Source organism: Homo sapiens, chromosome 12, assembly GCF_000001405.40.
Source record: "Homo sapiens chromosome 12, GRCh38.p14 Primary Assembly".
Taxonomy (NCBI): domain Eukaryota; kingdom Metazoa; phylum Chordata; class Mammalia; order Primates; family Hominidae; genus Homo; species Homo sapiens.
This window is the reverse complement of record NC_000012.12, coordinates 10,345,185-10,366,414: the sequence shown is the minus strand read 5'-3', so window position 1 is coordinate 10,366,414 and position 21,230 is coordinate 10,345,185. Positions and strand designations below refer to the sequence as shown.

The 21,230-nt window shown below is 40.8% G+C and overlaps 2 long non-coding RNA genes across 3 annotated transcripts in view, besides 3 other annotated features; one reads left to right on the top strand and one right to left on the bottom strand.

Annotated features, from left to right (window-relative positions):
• Positions 1–2,646, bottom strand: part of KLRK1-AS1 (KLRK1 antisense RNA 1) — a 34,738-nt gene extending 32,092 nt beyond the window's left edge. The window contains exon 1 of the long non-coding RNA NR_120430.1: positions 2,382–2,646. This is a non-coding gene — a long non-coding RNA (KLRK1 antisense RNA 1). The remainder of the gene's footprint in view (positions 1–2,381) is intronic.
• Positions 1,596–1,665: an enhancer, noted in NCBI's record as "active region_5961". NCBI's record gives its function as "activates an Ori minimal core promoter by ATAC-STARR-seq in GM12878 lymphoblastoid cells {active_cell/tissue: GM12878}" and the evidence as "EXISTENCE:reporter gene assay evidence [ECO:0000049][PMID:35858748]".
• Positions 2,126–2,175: an enhancer, noted in NCBI's record as "active region_5960". NCBI's record gives its function as "activates an Ori minimal core promoter by ATAC-STARR-seq in GM12878 lymphoblastoid cells {active_cell/tissue: GM12878}" and the evidence as "EXISTENCE:reporter gene assay evidence [ECO:0000049][PMID:35858748]".
• Positions 4,948–5,548: an enhancer, noted in NCBI's record as "NANOG-H3K27ac hESC enhancer chr12:10513466-10514066 (GRCh37/hg19 assembly coordinates)". NCBI's record gives its function as "activates a minimal SCP1, AML or CMV promoter by ChIP-STARR-seq in primed H9 embryonic stem cells {active_cell/tissue: H9 hESC(primed)}" and the evidence as "EXISTENCE:reporter gene assay evidence [ECO:0000049][PMID:30033119]".
• LINC02598 (long intergenic non-protein coding RNA 2598) lies at positions 5,299–9,492 on the top strand. 2 transcript variants are annotated; one of them, NR_170218.1, is made up of 3 exons: positions 5,299–5,831; positions 6,954–7,014; positions 7,852–9,492. It is a non-coding gene; the product is annotated as a long intergenic non-protein coding RNA 2598 (long non-coding RNA). The 2 variants fall into 2 exon arrangements; NR_170217.1 differs by lacking the exon at positions 6,954–7,014.
• The last annotated feature ends 11,738 nt before the right edge of the window (positions 9,493–21,230 follow it).

Below are 21,230 nucleotides of genomic sequence, written 5' to 3'. Positions count from 1 at the left end.
CTGGCAGTCCTAAAGCTGGGATCTGAGTCAAGGCTTCTTTGATTTTTTGAAAAGCCTTCTTCTGGTTGGCCTCCTAGAGGAGGAGTCCTTCTTTCCTCCTCTTTGTGGCTTTGTATAATGGCTTAGCCACAAGCAAGAAATTTGGGATCTAAATGCGGAAGAACTTTGCTGCCCTTAGGAACTCTGTTATTCGACGCCAGGTGGTTGGAGTAGGAAGTGCACAAACAGCCTGCTTTTGTTCACTACTAAGCCATCTTTCCTCTTGGCTTATGTAAAAGCTTAAGTACTGGACACTTTTCGAGCAGATCTGAGCTTTTTTCTGACCCTTTATATCCTGCCTTTCACAGCAGTCTTGGGTTTCTCCTGGGTGCAGTAGCCCTTGGCCAGTGGTTTTTTCATACCATGGCCTTGACCATTCTCCTTATTCTTTTGACATTTATCCTTCTAGTGTCCTTTTCTTTTGCACCATGTACATTAATCTCTCTCTAGCCTTGGCTGGCTTTCAAATTGCTGTCCAGACTAGCCTTTTCCACAACTGCATTCACACCCGCATCTATGCCTCCTTGCAAAGCCAGCCTCTCTTCCCATAAGGGCTGCTGCTTGTAAATAAGCCTTTATTAAGCCTCCAATCAGCTTTCTTCTTTGCCTCCTGGTCTCAGTTAATGTACACCTTGGTAGCCACTTTAATAAGCTGAGTAGCATTCACACCTACGGAGCTTCTAACTTCTGCAATTTATGCCTGATATCTCCTTGGGCCTGCCTTACAAATGCCGTATTTACTATTCACTGATTTTCAGCAGCCTCGGGGTTAAACAGAGTGTACAAGCAAAATGCCTATAAAACTGGCTGGTGCTTTTATCTGCACCATGGAGCACTTCTGAGATTTTTTTATATTGGTTGCCTTTTCCTTTTAACATCCTTTAGCCTTTGTAAAAGTGCTTCTCGGCACTTTTGTAGGTGCTGAAGCTGGACTGCATCGTCTGGGTCCTAGTGGGGGTCTGCTTGTCCTCTTAAGAGGCAGAAGCATAACTTGGGCATGACTTGACCTGAGACGGCCTGCCTACCTTTTTGAGCCTTTCGTTTTAACTTCCTGGAGCTCCGATTTCTCCTTCTCAGGTGAGAGTGGGAGCATGTATCTGTTTGAACTTACCTCCTTAGGGGCAATTAGCCTTGGTAAGGGGGGATAGATTGGAATATAGGTAGGAAGGATCTCTATTCCATCCTGTGATTCTTGCAAAACTGGTTTTCTCTTTCCTGAGACTCTTTTTTTTTTTTGGTCTGCATAGCTTCCAGGGCAGCTGACTTTCACTTTCACTTTTGGATCGGTGGTGCTAGAAGCCTCTGTGACTTTCCCTTTAACTCCGTAGCTGCCAGCACAGTTGGTTTATCTCGGCGTGAGCTGCGAGCATTCTACAATAAACTGCTAGGCAGGGCTGCGTACATTTAGCCATGAGTCAATATAAAGACTAGGTCTGAATGCCCTGGCTGTCCTCCGACCCTAGTCACCACCTTAAAACACACGGCCAATTTCTCTACAGTGCCTTCGGCCAGCCATCTGACACTAAAAGAGGGCTATTGTAATTCACAGTATGTCTTTAACTTTTGAACATCCAGTTTCATCCCACAATCACCTCTAAATCCTTTCTTTAAAATTTTTATCATGCACTCCAAAGGAGTTGGTTTTGACGCTTTCCCTCCCATTTCCTCCCTTGCGGCACACTCTCACTCTCACTCTCACTTTCACTCTCAGGTCCAGCAGACCCGGTCCTATTACAGGAGTTTCGGACACTGCTTAGCCAGGAAGGTGTCTTCCCCTGTCACAGCCTGCTACAGCTGCAAAGCTCGTCCTATCAGCTGTATGCAATGTCCTAGGTCTGATTTCCCCCCACACTCGCCTCAGAGCACACAGCCCGTGCTAAGGGATCTGTGCCTCCCCACGTCACTCCCTGCATTGGCCTCTCCCGAGACCATCGCTTTCACACACTTTCACACACCTTCCTTGCCCCAGGATTCCTCATTGGACGAAATGAGCCTCTCTCATGTCCCGGGTGAGTCTAGTTAGGCTCCCACTTTCACACACATACACCACTCCTACTGCAGGAGTCCTCATCGGATGGAATGAGCCTCTCTCATGACCTGGGTGAGCCTAGTTAGGCTCCCATATTCACACACATACACACACCACTCCCAGTTCCTGTCTCCAGATCCAGTGAACCACTTTCACTTTGTTAGTGGGGACATAAGCTTCATCCAAATTGGCAGGCCACTCCTGCTGCCCCCAGCCACTCTGGGTTGGATTAGTGGTCAGTCCCTGGGAGGTGATCAAGCTCCCCTTTGTCCCTATGGGACGGGCTTTCCTGCCTTGGGCCTATACTCCTTACCACAGTTCCTGAAGTGCTGGTATCGTCCTGCAGCCCCATCCTCGGTTCCATTGCGCTGCCAGGCAGGGTGCTGGGACGTGGGGAGAGCTGGTCTATATATCCGGGTGAAGCTCAGCTGTGGCACACCTTGGATGCCGGGTCTCTCCTGGCCCCGGGGACCTAGTATCGCAGGCAAAGGGGACAGTAAATCTGTCATCTCCAATCCTGATGAGCCCCCAGAAATGTATCGGGATATATAAGGAATCAGAGAGACCAAGGGATTGAGGAGGATATTTATTATTTAGGTGCACTGGTCCACTTGGATTAACATCCAAAGGACTGAGCCCCAAACAAAGAGTCAAGTTACCTTTTAAGCATTTCGTGGGTGGGGGAAGATTTGTGCAGGGGGAAGCGTATAACAGAAGCAAGAAACAAAGACAGTTATTCAATTGAGACATACATGACATCATTTCTTTTCAAGGAAAAACATGTTTTATGACTTGAGTTTATCTGTCTAGTGACCTTGCAGCTGCACAGCTAGAGAAATAGGGTCTTCATAATGCCTGGGAAAGGGAGAGATAAGGCTCACTAGCCACAGAAAACAGGCAGTTAATTTTTAAAGGACTCCGGCTCTTTCTCTTCCTCAGGGGGGAATTGGGTTTTCTTATATACAACTGAGTTTTTGCTTACACATTCTGTAATTTATTTTAATTCCTGTTCCATGCCAGCCACCTATGCTGCTGTTTTCCCCCTCCTTCCCCTTTCCCTAGGGAAGGGACTGGTGGCAGTGGGGCTATTCTTTCTTCCCCCAAGAAGAAAGGAAAGGGGGGTTCTGAATATTTTTCTTACTACTGGGAGTTTGTGTGAGGTTCAACGCCCCCCTCCCATGGGGATTCCTCACCTCTTTCTGAGGTTCAACCCGCCTCATGGGGATTTCTCACCTCTTTCTGAGGTTCAACACCCCTTCTATGGGGATTTCTCACCTATTTTTAACCTCCAAGACATCCCGACTAAGGAATAATCTACTGACCCTGCAGTTTCTCTCTCCTTGGTACGTCCTAACTAAGGAATGCTTTACCGTCCTGTGGCTTTTTTTTTTTTTTTTTTTTTAGTCCCGATCACCAAGGAAATACTTTATTGGCTCCCACAGCTTCTTCTTTCTTGGCCTGTGCACAAAGTTGTCGCCACAGTATGTGAGGATCCTTTAAGCTAGGTTGCTGGCCAGTTTCTTTTTTTTTTTTTTCTCTCTGTGTTGCTGAGAGTCTGGGTTTATTTGTCTCAATTTGTCATTCCTGAGGGCCCCTTCAATGAGGTAGGGGAGTGCACTCCCTCATGAGAGAGGACTGGAGACCACCCCTGGAGGAGAATGTATCCCCATACAGACTGCCACCAAATTGTTTGAAATGCTTGTTCCCCAGTGCCATAAAAAAATAGCACTTGAACATAGATTTATTTAGTGTGGCCATTTTTTTTTTTTACTTCCTGCAGAAAGGGTATACTCATCAGCAGTTTTGCCACGAGTGTACACCAAACAAAGGAGACAGCATCATTTATAACCTGCCGCATCCACCCTACTGCTGTATCCAGTTTCCATTGACTGGAACAGGACCTCACATTCTGTATTTGTCCCGACTGGCTAGCAATTTAGAACTTTTTAAAAGAGGCAAAGGTAGAGGAGAACAAAGGAAGGAGGAAGTAACTTGTGGAATGCTGAGAAAGGTAAAAACACTTTTAAATAAGGAAGAGGAACAGGCTATGACCTAATGCTTGCTTGGACCAGTATAAGCATGCCAGGGCAAATATTTAGGAGCACAGGTCTTTGAATAAATTTTGCTTCTAAGAGAAGTTACTATTTATTCCTAATTAGTTAGGGAGGAAAGTCTTTGAAGAGCAACCTCTACTTTACTTTTTACAGAATAAATGCAGGCAAAAAGAACATAAACTTTGCCATGGGCAGAATGTTATGGACAGAATGTTTCTGTTTCCCTGAAATTCATATTTGAAATCCTAACTCCCAATGGTATAGTATTAGGAGGTGCCTTTGGGAGGTAATTTAGGTGTGAAAGTTGATTATAAAAATTGAGTAATTCTTTTCATAACTAAATAAAACAGAGTGGAGAATCCAGTGGGAAAACATTCTGGGTACAAAGCATTGCTCCAAGAATGTAATTATCTGCAAGCCTGGCTGCTGAAACTGCCTGTTGTAACCAGAAACCAGTTTTATCTGTAGCTTCTGAAGTAGCTTACTGCAACTCTAGAACTAATGTTTGCTCACACTGTTGTCACGCAAAAATCGGAGCTTGCCAGCTCACCAAATCCTTACAAATATCAATGAACTTTCTCAAAAAGCAATATGTAAAACCTCTAACCTTCTCTTTGCTCTTTGGAGATACCGAAGACCACGTGTATGCCCTGAACTGCAATTCTTTCTTCCCAAATAAAACACTACATTTAGAGATTTGTGTCTGCATTTTTATTTTTACTTTGACATACTATTATAGGAGTTACTAAGAAATTCTTTTAGGCAGATAGGGAAAAAAAGGGGTCCTTGGGCAATTTTTGTTTCTTTTAAGGCAGCTCCAGAAACATTTCTTGTCTAGCAGGAAAGCGCTGGCTCTTAGAGCTGCCTGGCAAGCTTTGATGTGCGAATGCCAGCAATTAGAAACTGGGTCTACCCAATCATGGCAATTCCTGCCCTCTTCTTCCTGTTCTTGCCCCGACATGTGCCTGGTAACATGGCCGCCCCCACATATCCCCATGAGTATAGAACATCATGATGCCCTGCATTTGCATATTAAAAGGCTAGGGTAAGAGGGCCAAGTTTTTCATGGGCTACATGAGTGACATGCCTGATCAAACCAATCCCCTTAGCCCTATGCAAATCAAACACCACCTCCTACAGCCTCCTCATATAAGTGGCCACTTTTCTGCAGCACATGGGGTTTTCTCTTTGTTTAAATCCCTCCTCCCTCTGTCTCTACAAGGGAGCTGTTTTCTTCTTCCTTCTTTCTTGCTTATTAAACTCTCCTCTCCTTAAAACCACTCCACGTATGTCCAAGTCGTTTTATCTAATTCGGTGCAAGATTAAGGACACTAGTGTTCTTCCAGTCATCATAGCCATATCAATACTTGGTGTCAGAAGGAAGGACCAAAGGTGATTCACCTTAAGGAGACTCACCAGGCCTTGGAACTACAGCATGAGGTACCCACACTGGGGCTCTTTAGGGCCGCCGACCCTGACTTCCACGGGTCACTTCTTCTCCGGCTTGGAGAGTCTGTCTTAGAACTCCCAATTTTGATTTGTTTTCTGTTTTATTTGGGATTTGGTGAGGAAAGATCTTTTCCTCCTTGTTTGAATCTCTTGTTGAAGAGGACTCTTTTCCTCTGTTGACCTTGTCTATGAAGTTTGAACCTAGAGGTTTGAATGAGGAAATTTTTTTCTTCATTTGGAGAAGGCCATTGTTTTTCTTGGTAAGCATATACTTTATTTTTCTCCTGTGCTTGCATTTATTTTGCTTTTACATATTCAGTGCTTGAGTTTCACTGGAGTTTGTGCATTTAGCAGCTGACTAAATCACCTAAATAAATTTAGTTACAAATGAACTCTCAAAGTTCAATGACATGAGAATTAGGCTCTGATTTTTTTATCTTGCCCAAATTCATACCTAAGGAGTCTGGGGAGTCATGCCCTACAAACCATAAACTAACATCACATGGGTTTCATTTAACCCTGTATATCATGACTTACTTTCCAATCTGACTCTGGCATAACATTATGTGACAAAGAAGAAAGTCAAATGTTTTACCCCAAAACATGTTTACTTGCCATATTTTGAAATGGCCCTGCAAAGCTGTCCTTTGTGGGGAGAAATTTGCATATGTAAAGAATCTCTATTAAAATAACTGGATCTTTTTCTCCAGGCCCTCCCAATCCTAAAGAGATTAACTAAGAGTCTAGCACCTTTTAAATATCTGAATAGGATATCATTCTATTGTCTCTAAGAGCAGCCACTATAAGACTTCAAAAGAACCTTGGTCTCCACATCCTTTTATCTTAACCTGAATATTTATTTTCTATCGACCCCAGGTCTTTAGACAAACTCAACTAATTGTCAACCAGAAAATGTTTAAATTTACCTATAGCCTGAAACTACCCCCCCCCACCCCCCACCTTCCTAATCCCTGGCTTTGAATTGTCCCACCTTTCTGGACCAAACCAATGTATTTCTAATATGTCAGTAAATTGAGTTATATACCTATAATTGTATATATATATGTGTGTGTGTGTGTGTATATCCTTTGATAGATGATTTTATTGACTACTTTTTGTTTGTTTGTTTATAGCCCCTCTGGCTAATCTTTGTTCCCTTAAATACAGAGAACTTTGGGAGCTTTGGGAAGTTTGCTAATTTTTTCTTTTTTAGAATTTTTTTTTTTTTGCCTTGCTTTATATTCCTCAATTTTATCACAGAATTAGCAAATGGCTTGTAGGAAAAGTGAAGATTTGAACACTGTCTGTTTTGTGCTGCTCTAATAGAATACAAAGACCAGATAATTCATAATGAACATAAATGTATTGGCTTACAATTCTAGAGGCTGAGAAGGGGCCAGCATCTAGTGAGGTTCTTCTTGCTGTACTATCAAATGGAAGGAGGTGAGACCAGGAGAGAGAGAACCCACTCCTCAAAGTCATTTTTTTAAAGGCACTAAACTCACTCACATATAAAGGCGGAATTCTTATGGGCCTTAAAGGCCCCACCTCCCAATACCATTATATTTGCAATTAAATTTTAACCTGAGTTTTGGAGGAGACAAACATTCAGACTATAGGAAAAACCTTCAAATATTCAGTATTGTCACCCTAGTCCACATAACCACTACAAAAATTGCTGGTTTCACTTTCTGCAAACATAGGTTCTCTGTCTTGGCCAGACTCTGATCCATGAAAAAGAAAAATAACAAAAGTAGCAGATTGTTGATTTTTTCTCCCTGCTCTGGAATTAAAGTCATTTGGTTGTCATTCCATAGATCTCTGATTCCTTAAAAATGCATTTTTGGGGAGATCTGGCAAGATGGCTGAATAGGAACAGCCCCAGTCTGCAGCTCACATCAAGAGCAACACAGAAGGCAGGTGATTTCTACATTTCCAAATGAGGTGACCAGTTCATCTAATTGGGACTGGTTAGGCAGGGGAATGCAGCCCATGGAGGGCAAACAGAAGCAGGGTGGGGCGTTGCCTCACCCCGGAAGTGCAAGGACCTGGGGTACCTTTCTCCCCCAGCCAAGGGAAGCCATGAGGGACTGTGCTACCTGGCCCAGATACTACACTTTTCCTACAGTTTTTGCAATCCACAGACTAGGAGATTCCCTCATGCACCTACACAACCAGGGCCCTGGGTTTCAAGCACAAAACTGGGCAGCTGTTTGGGCAGACATCAAATTAGCTGCAGGAGTTTTTTTGTTTGTTTGTTTGTTTGTTTGTTTTCCCCAGTTGTGCCTGGAACCTCAGCGAGGCAGAATCATTCACTCCCCTGGAAAGGGGGCTAAAGCCAGGGAGCCAAGTGGTCTCGCTCAGCAGGTCCCACTTTCCTGGAGCCCAGCGAGCAAACAACAACTGGCTTGAAATTCTCACTGCCAGCGCAGCAGTCTGAAGTGGACGTGAGACAATCAAGCTTGGTGGGTGGGAGGGGCATCTGCCATTACTGAGGCTTGAGTAGGCGATTTTTCCCCTGACAGTGCTAAGGAGGCCAGGAAGTTCAAACTTGGCAGAATTCACCACAGTGCAGCAAAGTATCTGTGGCCAGTCTGCCTCTCTAGATTCTTCTCACTGGGCAAGGCATCTCTGAAAAAAAGGCAGCAGCCCCAGTCAGGGGCTTATAGATAAAACTCCCATCTCCCTGGGTCAGAGAACCTGGGGGAAGGGGCAGCTGTGGGTGCAACTTGAGCAGACTTAAACATTCCTGCCTGCCGGTTCTGAAGAGAGGAGCAGATCTCCCAGCACAGTGTTCGAGCTCTGCTAAGGGACAAACTGCCTCCTCAAGTGGGTCCCTGACCCCCATATGCCTCCTGACTGGGAGACAGCTCTTAGCAGGGGTTGACAGACACCTCATAGAGGAGAGCTCTGGCTGGCATCAGGCCAGTGCCCCTCTGGGACAAAGCTTCCTGAAAAAGGAGCAGGTGGCAGTCTTTGCTCTTCTGCAGCCTACATGGGTGATATCCAAGCAAACAGGGTCTGGAGTGGACCTCAACTACAGCAGGCCTGCAGAAGAGGAGCCTGACTGTTAGAAGAAAAACTAACAAACAGAAAGCAATAACATCAACATCAACAAGAAGGACCCCCACATGAAAACCCCATCCAAAGGTCATCAGCCTCAAAGATCAAAGGTAGATAAATCCATGAAGATGAGAAAAAAAACAATGCAAAAATGCTGAAAATTCCAAAAACCAGAATGCCTCGTCTCCAAATGATCACAACTGGTCTCTAGCAAACCTAGATGACGGATTGATAGGTGCAGCAAACCACCATGGCATATGTATACCTATGTAACAAACCTGCACATTCTACACATTTATCCCAGAACTTAAAAGTAAAAATATAATAAATAAGATTAAATTAAATTTAAAAAGATACTTCCATATGCATGTTTATAGCAGCACAATTCACAATTGCAAAAATGTGGAACCAACCCAAGTGCCCATCAATCAACGAGTGGATAAAGAACCTGTGGTATTATATGTATATGATGGAATACCACTCACTCACAGAAGGGAATGAATTAACGGCATTTGCAGTGACCTGGATGAGATTGGAGACAATTATTCTAAATGAAGTAGCTCAGGAATGGAAAACCAAGCATCATATGTTCTCACGCATTAGTAGGAGCTAAGCTATGAGGATGCAAAGGCATAGGAATGGCACAATGGACTTTGGGGACTCAGGGGAAAAGGGTGGGAAGTGGGTAAGGGATAAAAGACTACAAATAGGATGCAGTCTATACTGCTCGGTGATGAGTGCACCAAAATCTCACCAAATCACCACTAAAGAACTACCCATGTAACCAAACACCACCTGTTCCCCAATAACCTATGGAAATTAAAAAAAAAAAAAAAAAGTTTAATTTCATTTACTGCCACCTATTTTGTTGTTGTCATTGTTGTTAAATAATTTACTAATACATATAAGTGCTCGAACATATTGCCATTAATTTTGTTTTATGAGGTCAGTTAACTTACAGGATACTTGAGAAAAACTAATTATATTTCTCTTACAGTTACCAGTCTACCTTTCTGCATTCTTTCCTGTAGAAGCAGTTTCCCATCTGATACTGTTTCCCTCAGTAAAAAGAACATCCTTCAGCATTTCTTACAGTGTGGACCTGCTGGCAACACATTCATTCAGCTTTTACTAACCTGGAAATATTTTTATTTTGCTTCATTTTTTAAAATTAAGTTTTTAATTTGGTATAATTGTAAGTTCACATGTTACCATAAGGAATAACACCAAGAGATCCCATGTTTCCTGTCCCAGTTTACCCCAATGGCGATGTCTTGTAAAACTGTAACACAATATTACAACCAAGATATTGATAATGATACAATCAAAATACAGAAGAGCTCCATTATCACAGGGATCCCTATGATAGAGGAAGCCACACCCACCTTCTACCTCTCCCCCATTCTTGATTCCTGAAAACCATTAATTTGCTCTCCATTTTTATCATTTTACCATTTCAAGAATGTTATATAAATGGAATTGCATAGAATGTAAACTTTTTTAGTTTCAACATACCTGGAGATTTATACAAGTTGTTGCATGTTCCTTTTATAATTGAGTAGTATTCCACTGTATTTATGTACCACAGTTTAACTCATTGAAGGACTTCTGAATTGTTTTTAGTTTGGGGCTATTACAAGTAAAACCACTATGAAAATTTGTGTCCACATTTTGTGTATTTGTAAGTTTTTATTTCTCTGGAATAACTATCCAAGAGTGCAACTGCAGAGTTATGTGGGAGTTGTATGATTTGTTTTTAAGGAAACTTCCACAGGATTTTTCAAAGAGGCTGTATCATTTTACATTCCTACCAGAAATGCATGAGTGATCTAGTTTCTACTCGTCCTTGTTGACTTTTAATATTGTCACTATTTTTATATTTGCCATTCTGATAAGTATGTAGTGATATCTCAGTACAGTTTTAGTTTATTTTGCCATCTGTATATCCTCTGATTCTTTCCTCTGTCATCTTCATTACCCTATTGAACCTGTCTAGTGAGTTTTGCTGCTGTTGTTTTTGTGTCTTTCAGTTTTATAATTTATAATTTCTTTTTTCACACACACAAATGTGCGAAATGTGTGAAAGTGTTTCTTAAATATTACAAGATACAATATCAACTAAAAATACATTATATTAAAATTGAAAGCTTCTTGGCATATATTTTAATGCAATTTAGGTGTGTGGGTTGATATTGTCAAACAAGGGGAAAAAACGAAATAAAGTTCCAAAATTTTTTTTAAAAGTGCCTAAACATAAGCTGCACAGTTAATAGAAACCTATTCCTTTGCTTACAAAAAGTAAGAGAAAAAACTTTGAAAGTATTTTGATGAATATAAAACTTTGGCAAGACATACGAATGTGCTTCCTGAATTTGAAAGTAAATGAAAAAGTAACAACATTAAAAATGTACAACAGGCCAGGAGCAGTGGCTCATGCTTGTAATCCCAGCACTTTGGGAGGCCAAGGTGGGCAGATCGCCTGAGGTCAGGAGTTCGAGACCAGCCTGGCCAACATGGAAAAACCCTGTCTCTACTAAAAATAGAGAAAAATTAGCCAGGTGTGGTGGCACACGCATGTGATTCCAGCTACTTGGGAGGCTGAGGCAGAAGAATCCCTTGAACCAAGGAGGTGGAGGTTGCAGTGAGCTGAGATGGTGCCACTGCAACCAAGGAGGTGGAGGTTGCAGTGAGCTGAGATGGTGCCACTGCACTCCAGCCTGGGTGACAGAGTGAGACTCCATCTCAAATAAATATCTAAATAAATAAAATAAAATAAAATAAAAATGTACAACAAACTAATGAAAATACCATGATGGGAAAAGTGCACATCAAATAGAAATTGAGGTGATTGCTGGTACCCATTTGATTATTTTTTATAACCTGTATTTATTTGCTAATTTTTTTTTTCAAAAGAATTTGTAATGGCTTATTGAAGAGTTTTCATTTTTTTTCTGCTTTTTCCCTGCTGGAGCCAGGGAGGCTGGATGGCCTGGTGCCAAGAAGTGTTCCCTACAGCCCAACACACTGGCTGTGGCAGACTGTGGCCAGAATGCCCCTTCAGGCCTGACCCTGACTCATCCCTCTTCAATGGCCGGGGCCTCCCTGCAGGAACTTCAACAACTCCAGTGAGAGGTTCAGGGGACAGAATGCTAATCTCCCTGGGCCTGAGTCCCTATGGGGAGGGGTGGCTGCAGTCTCTGCAGACCAGCAGACTTAGCCTTTACTCCTGTTAGTTCTGACGAATCTGGGCAGCCCAGATGAGTGGGTTACCCCCCAGTGAAGCACACTCCCTCCACCAAGGGACAGTCAAAGTGCTTTGTTAAATAGTTCCTGTTCCCCATGCCACCCAACGGAGACCCTCCAACAGGAATTGTCAGACACCCTTTGCAGGACCAAATCTACTGGCATCAGTTTGGTGTCCCTCAAAATCAGAGACCCCAGGAGGAAAAGCAGACATCCATCTTTGCTGTTCTCCAGCCTCCTTGAGTGACATCTTCAGGCAGGAGAGTGAACCAGGTGAAAAAGGCCTGAAGTGAACCCTCAGCAAACCCCAGCAGCGCTACAGAAGAGGGACCTGACAATTGAAAGAAAAGCAAACATTGTTCAATTCCCACCTATGAGTGAGAACATGCGGTGTTTGGTTTCACACACCGGGGCCTATTGTGGGGTGGGGGGAGGGGGGAAGGATAGCATTAGGAGATATACCTAATGTAAATGACGAGTTAATGGGTGCAGCACACAAACATGGCACATGTATACATATGTAACAAACCTGCACGTTGTGAACATGTACCCTAGAACTTAAAGTATAATAAAAAAAAAAGAAAAAAAGAAAAGCAAACAAACAGAAAGCAAAAATAACAGCATTAACAACAAAAAAATCCCCACAAAAACCCCATCCAAGGATCAACAGCCTCAAAGATCAAAACTAGACAACACATGAAGATGGAAAAGAGTCAATGAAAAAATGCTGAAAACCCAAAAGGCCGGAGTATCTCTTCTCCAAATGATTGCCAGGACAAATCTACAGAAATAATTTCAATTTTTTTCAGTATTTAGTAGTAAAAGATATTAATGCATTAATGGCAATACATTTCTGGTTTAAGATAAGTTAAGGATGTTTTCTAGTTGTGCATGAATGCTGGCAACTTAGCAATTTTTGACAACTGTTTAAATATTAATGTTAACATTAGGTTTAAAAAAGTAAAGATGGTAAACTAGGTATTTGTCATTTGCCTTAAAAAAAAAAAAGAAAAAAAACACTCTCAAACTATGCATTGATGGAACATATCTCAAAATGATAAGAGCTATTTATGACAAACCCATAGCCAATATAATATTGAATGAACAAAAGCTGGAAACATTCCCTTTGAAAACCAGCACAAGACAAGGGTGCCCTCTTTCACCACTCCTATTTAACATATTGGAAATTCTGGCCAGGGCAATCAGGCAAGAGGAAGAAATAAAGGTATTCAAATAGGAAGAGAGGAAGTCAACTTGTCTCTGTTTGCAGACGACATGATTGTATATTTAGAAAACCCCATCATCTCAGCCCAAAAACTCCTTAAGCTGATAAGCAATTTCAACAGTCTCAGGATACAAAGTCAATGTGCAAAAATCACAAACACTCCTTTACACTAACAATAGACAAGCAGAGAGCCAAATCATGAATGAACTCCCATTCACAATTGCTACAAAGAAATAAAATACCTAAGAATACAGCTAAGAAGAGATGTGAAGGACCTCTTCAAGGAGAACTACAAACCATTGCCCAAGAAAATAAGAGAGGACACAAACAAATGAAAAAACATTTCATCCTCCTGGATAGGAAGAATCAATATCATGAAAATGGCCATACTGCCCAAAGTAATTTATAGATTTAATGCTATTCCCATCAAACTACCATTGTCTTTCTTTACAGAATTAGAAAAAAACTACCTTAAATTTCATATGGAATCAAAGAAGACCCCGTATAACCAAGACAATCCCAAAAAAAAAAGAACAAAGCTGGAGTATCATGCTACCTAACTTCAAACTATACTACAAGGCTACAGTAACCAAAACAGCATGGTACTGGTACCAAAACAGACATACAGACCGATAGAACAGAACAGAGACCTCTGAAATAACACCACTCATCTACAACCATCTGATCTGTGACAAACCTGACAAAAACAAGCAATGGGGAAAGGATCTCCTATTCAGTAAATGGTGCTCAGAAAACTTGTTAGCCATATGCAGAAAACTGAAACTGGACTCCTTCCTTACACCTTATACAAAAATTAACTCAAGATGGATTAAAGACTTAAATGTAAAACCCAAAACCATAAAAACCCTAGAAGAAAACCTAGGCAGTATCATTCACGACAAAGGCATGGGCAAAGACTTCATGACAAAAATGCCAAAAGCAGTGGCAACAAAAGCCAAAATTGACAAATGGGATCTAATTAAACTAAAGAGCTTCTACACAGCAAAGCAAACTGTCATCAGAGTGAAAAGACAATCTACAGAATGGGAGAAAAATTTTACAATCTACCCATCTGACAAAGGTCTAATATCCAGAATCTACAAGGAACTTAAACAAATTTACAAGAAAAAAACAAACAACCCCATCAAAAAGTGGGCAAAACAAATTAACAGACGCTTCTCAACAGAAGACATTTATGCAGCCAACAAACATATGAATAAAATCTCAATATCACTGATCATTAGAAAAATGCAAATCAAAACCACAATGAGATACCATCTCATGCCAGTCAGAATGGCGATTATTAAAAAGTCAAGAAACTATAGATGCTGGTGAGACTGTAGATAGGAACACTTTTACACTGTTGGTGGGAATGTAAATTAGTTCAACAATTGTGGAAGACAGTATGGTGATTCCTCAAGGATCCAGAACCAGGAATACCATTTGACCCGGCAATGCCATTACTGGGTATATACCCAAAGAAATATAAATCATTCTACTATAAACACACAGGCACACGTATGTTTATTGCAGCACTATTTACAACAGTAAAGTCGTGGAACCAACCCAATGCCCATCAATAATAGACTGGATAAAGAAAATGTGGTACATATACCACTGTGGAATACTATGCAGCCATAAAAAGGGATGAAATCATGTCCTTTGCAGGGACATGGATGAAGCTGGAAGCCATCATCCTCAGCAAACTAACACAGGAAGAGAAAACCAAACACCACATGTTCTCCTCATAAGTGGGAGTTGAACAATGAGAACATATGGACACAGGGAGGGGATCAACACACACCAGGGCCTGTTGGCCAGTGGGAGGCAAGGGGAGGGACCTTAGAGGACGGGTCAATAGGTGCAGCAAACCAACATGGCACATGTATGCCTATGTAACAACCCTGCACGTTCAGCACATATCCCAGAATTTAAAGTAAAAAGAAAGAAAAAAAAACTTTAGTAAGTTTATCCAAGGAGGTGAAAGAGCTATATACTGAAAACTATAAAACACCAGTGAAAGAAATTTAATCTAACACAAGTAAATGGAAAGATATCATATGTTCTTGGAGTGAGAGAAATATAAAATTTCCGTGCAACCTAAAGTGATCTACAGATTTAATGCAATCCCTGTTAAAATTCCAATTTTGTTTTATATGAGAATAGAAAAAGCATTCCTGAAATTCATATGGAATCACAAAAACCCTGAACAGCCAAAGCAATCTCGAGCAAACAGAACAAAGCTGGAAACGTCACACTCCTTAATTTCATGCTCTATTATAAAGCTTTGTAATCAAAACAGCATAGTACTAGTGTATAAACGACACATTGACCAACAGGACTGAATAGAAAGCCTAGAAATAAACCCACACATTTAAGGCAGTCGATTTTTGACAAAGGTGCTAAGAATACACAATGACAAAAGAACAACAATCTCTTCAATAAATGGTGTTGGCAAAACTGAATTTGTACATGCAGAAAAAATAAAGTTGGACCTTTATTTTACATCATACTGAAAAATCAACTCAAATTAGATTAAAGAATAAAATGCAAGACCTGAAATTATAAAACTACTAGGAGAAAACGTAGGGGAAAATTCCATGTCATTGATCTGGGCAATAATTTTTTGCATATGACTCCAAACCCACAGGTAACTAAAGGAAAAATAAATAAATGGGATTGCAACAAACTAAAAAGGTTTTGTACAACAAAGAAAACAGTTAACAAAGTGAAGAGATAACCCACAGATTGGGAGAAAATATTTGCATAATGTACTCTAATAAGGGGCTAATGTCCAAAATATATAAAGGAGTTGCACGATTAATTAGCAAGAAAACAAATAACTAAATTCAAAAATAGGCAAAGAACCTAAATGAACATTTCTGAAAAGATGACATATGAAGGACCACAGGTACGTGAGAAAAAAATGCTCAATCTCTAATCATCCGAGAAATGCAAATTCAAAACAAAATGAGAGGTTACCTCACACTTGGTACAATGGTTACTATCAAAAACTCAGTAGATAAGAAGTGTTGGGAAAGAAGTGGAGAAAAGGAAACTCAACTACATTGTTAGTGGAAATGTACATTAGTACAGCCATTATGAGAAACAGTATAGAGATTCCTCAAAAAGCTAAAAATACAATTACCCTATGATCCTGCAGTTCGGCATCTGGATATATATCCAAAGGAGTTGAAATGTATAAATCAAAAAGAGTTGAAATTGGTATGCTGAAGAGATATCTGAACTCCACGTTCATTGCAACATTAATCACAATAGCCAAGATATGGAATCAGCTTAAGTGTCCATCAACAGATGAATGGATAAAGAAAATATGGTGTATATATACAGAAAGAAATACTATACAGCAGGAGGAGCCAAGATGGCCGAATAGGAACAGCTCTGGTCTACAGCTCCCAGCGTGAGCGATGCAGAAGACGGGTGATTTCTCCATTTCCATCTGAGCTTTGAAGAGAGCAGTGGTTCTGCCAGCACGCAGCTGGAGATCTGAGAATGGGCAGACTGCCTCCTCAAGTGGGTCCCTGACCCCTGACCCCCGAGCAGCCTAACTGGGAGGCACCCCCCAGCAGGGGCAGACTGACACCTCACACAGCCGGGTACTCCAACAGACTGGCAGCTGAGGGTCCTGTCTGTTAGAAGGAAAACTAACAAACAGAAAGGACATCCACACCAAAAACCCATCTGTACATCACCATCATGAAAGACCAAAAGTAGATAAAACCACAAAGATGGGGAAAAAACAGAGCAGAAAAACTGGAAACTCTAAAAAGCAGAGTGCCTCTCCTCCTCCAAAGGAACGCAGTTCCTCACCAGCAACGGAACAAAGCTGGACGGAGAATGACTTTGACAAGCTGAGAGAAGAAGGCTTCAGACGATCAAATTACCCCGAGCTACGGGAGGACATTCAAACCAAAGGCAAAGAAGTTGAAAACTTTGAAAAAAAATTTAGAAGAATGTATAACTAGAATAACCAATACAGGGAAGTGCTTAAAGGAGCTGATGGAGCTGAAAACCAAGGCTCGATAACTACGTGAAGAATGCAGAAGTCTCAGGAGCCAATGTGATCAACTGGAAGAAAGGGTATCAGTGATGGAAGATGAGATGAATGAAATGAAGCGAGAAGGGAAGTTTAGAGAAAAACGAATAAAAAGAAATGAGCAAAGCCTCCAAGAAATATGGGACTATGTGAAAAGACCAAATCTACGTCTGATTGGTGTACCTGAAAGTGATGGGGAGAATGGAACCAAGTTGGAAAACACTCTGCAGGATATTATCCAGGAGAACTTCCCCAATCTAGCAAGGCAGGCCAACGTTCAGATTCAGGAAATACAGAGAACGCCACAAAGATACTCCTCGAGAAGAGCAACTCCAAGACACATAATTGTCAGATTCACCAAAGTTGAAATGAAGGAAAAAATGTTAAGGGCAGCCAGAGAGAAAGGTCGGGTTACCCTCAAAGGGAAGCCCATCAGACTAACAGTGGATCTCTCGGCAGAAACTCTACAAGCCAGAAGAGAGTGGGGGCCAATATTCGACATTCTTAAAGAAAAGAATTTTCAACCCAGAAATTCATATCCAGCCAAACTAAGCCTCATAAGTGAAGGAGAAATAAAATACTTTACAGAGAAGCAAATGCTGAGAGATTTTGTCACCACCAGGCCTGCCCTAAAAGAGCTCCTGAAGGAAGTGCTAAACATGGAAAGGAACAACCGGTACTAGCCGCTGCAAAATCATGCCAAAATGTAAAGACCTTCGAGACTAGGAAGAAACTGCATCAACTAATGAGCAAAATAACCAGCTAACATCATAATGACAGGATCAAATTCACACATAACAATATTAATTTAAATATAAATGGACTAAATGCTCCAATTAAAAGACACAGACTGGCAAATTGGATAAAGAGTCAAGACCCATCAGTGTGCTGTATTCAGGAAACCCATCTCACATGCAGAGACACACATAGGCTCAAAATAAAATGATGGAGGAAGATCTACCAAGCAAATGGAAAACAAAAAAAGGCAGGGGTTGCAATCCTAGTCTCTGATAAAACAGACTTTAAACCAACAAAGATCAAAAGAGACAAAGAAGGCCATTAAATAATGGTAAAGGGATCAATTCAAGAAGAAGAGCTAACTATCCTAAATATATATGCACCCAATACAGGAGCACCCAGATTCATAAAGCAAGTCCTGAGTGACCTACAAAGAGACTTAGACTCCCACACATTAATAATGGGAGACTTTAACACCCCACTCTCAACATTAGACAGATCAACGAGACAGAAAGTCAACAAGGATACCCAGGAATTGAACTCAGCTCTGCACCAAGCAGACCTAATAGACATCTACAGAACTCTCCACCCCAAATCAACAGAATATACATTTTTTTCAGCACCACACCACACCTATTCCAAAATTGACCACATACTTGGAAGTAAAGCTCTCCTCAGCAAATGTAAAAGAACAGAAATTATAACAAACTATCTGTCAGACCACAGTGCAATCAAACTAGAACTCAGGATTAAGAATCTCACTCAAAACTGCTCAACTACATGGAAACTGAACAACCTGCTCCTGAATGACCACTGGGTACATAACGAAATGAAGGCAGAAATAAAGATGTTCTTTGAAACCAACGAGAACAAAGACACAACATACCAGAATCTCTGGGACGCATTCAAAGCAGTGTGTAGAGGGAAATTTATAGCACTAAATGTCCACAAGAGAAAGCAGGAAAGATCTAAAATCAACACCCTGACATCACAATTAAAAGAACTAGAGAAGCAAGAGCAAACACATTCAAAAGCTAGCGGAAGTCAAGAAGTAACTAAGATCAGAGCAGAACTGAAGGACATAGAGACAGACAAAACCATTCAAAAAAATCAATGAATCCAGGAGCTGGTTTTTCGAAAAAATCAACAAAATTGACAGACCACTAGCAAGACTAATAAAGAAGAAAAGAGAGAAGAATCAAATAGATGTAATAAAAAATGATAAAGGGGATATCACCACTGATCCCACAGAAATACAAACTACCATCAGAGAATACTACAAACACCTCTATGCAAATAAACTAGAAAATCTAGAAGAAATGGATAAATTCCTTGACACATACACTTTCCCAAAACTAAACCAGGAAGAAGTTGAGTCTCTGAATAGACCAATAACAGGATCTGAAATTGTGGCAATAATCAATAGCTTACCAACCAAAAAGAGTCCAGGACCAGATGGATTCACAGCCAAATTCTACCAGAGGTACAAGGAGGAACTGGTACCATTCCTTCTGAAACTATTCCAATCAACAGAAAAAGAGGGAATCCTCCCTAACTCATTTTATGAGGCCAGCAACATCCTGATACCAAACCCGGGCAGAGACACAACCAAAAAAGAGAATTTTAGACCAATATCCTTGATGAACACTGATGCAAAAATCCTCAATAAAATACTGGCAAACTGAATCCAGCAGCACATCAAAAAGCTTATCCACCATGATCAAGTGGGCTTCATCCTTGGGATGCAAGGCTGGTTCAATATACGCAAATCAATAAATGTAATCCAGCATATAAACAGAACCAAAGACAAAAACCACATGATTATCTCAATAAATGCAGAAAAGGCCTTTGACAAAATTCAACAACCCTTAATGCTAAAAACTCTCAATAAATTAGGTATTGATGGGACGTATTTCAAAATAATAAGAGCTATTTATGACAAACCCACAGCCAATATCATGCTGAATGGACAAAAACTGGAAGCATTCCCTTTGAAAACTGGCACAAGACAGGGATGCCCTCTCTCACCACTCCTATTCAACATAGTGTTGGAAGTTCTGGCCAGGGCAATTAGGCAGGAGAAGGAAATAAAGGGTATTCAATTAGGAAAAGAGGAAGTCAAATTGTCCCTCTTTGCAGATGACATGATTGTATATCTAGAAAACCCCATTGTCTCAGCCCAAAATCTCCTTAAGCTGATAAGCAACTTCAGCAAAGTCTCAGGATACAAAATCAATGTACAAAAATCACAAGCATTCTTATACACCAGCAACAGACAAACAGAGAGCCAAATCATGAGTGAACTCCCATTCACAATTGCTTCAAAGAGAATGAAATACCTAGGAATCCAACTTACAAGGGATGTGAAGGACCTCTTCAAGGAGAACTACAAACCACTGCTCAAGGAAATAAAAGAGGATACAAACAAATGGAAGAACATTCCATGCTCATGGGTAGGAAGAATCAATATCGTGAAAATGGCCATACTGCCCAAGGTAATTTACAGATTCAATGCCATCCCCATCAAGCTACCAATGACTTTCTTCACAGAATTGGAAAAAACTACTTTAAAGTTCATATGGAACCAAAAAAGAGCCCGCATCGCCAAGTCAATCCTAAGCCAAAAGAACAAAGCTGGAGGCATCACGCTACCTGACTTCAAACTATACTACAAGGCTACAGTAACCAAAACAGCATGGTACTGGTACCAAAACAGAGATATAGATCAATGGAACAGAACAGAGCCCTCAGAAATAACACCACATATCTACAACTATCTGATCTTTGACAAACCTGAGAAAAACAAGCAATGGGGAAAGGATTCCCTATTTAATAAATGGTGCTGGGAAAAGTGGCTAGCCATATGTAGAAAGCTGAAACTGGATCCCTTCCTTACACCTTATACAGAAATCAATTCAAGACGGATTAAAGACTTAAACGTTAGACCTAAAGCCATAAAAACCCTAGTAGAAAACCTAGGCATTACCATTCAGGACATAGGCATGGGCAAGGACTTCATGTCTAAAACACCAAAAGCAATGGCAACAAAAGCCAAAATTGACAAATGGGATCTAATTAAACTCAAGAGCTTCTGCACAGCAAAAGAAACTACCATCAGAGTGAACAGGCAACCTACAAAATGGGAGAAAATTTTCACAACCTGCTCATCTGACAAAGGGCTAATATCCAGAATCTACAATGAACTCAAACAAATTTACAAGAAAAAAACAACCCCATCAAAAAGTGGGCAAAGGACATGAACAGACACTTCTCAAAAGAAGACATTTATGCAGCCAAAAAACATATGAAAAAATGCTCACCATCACTGGCCAT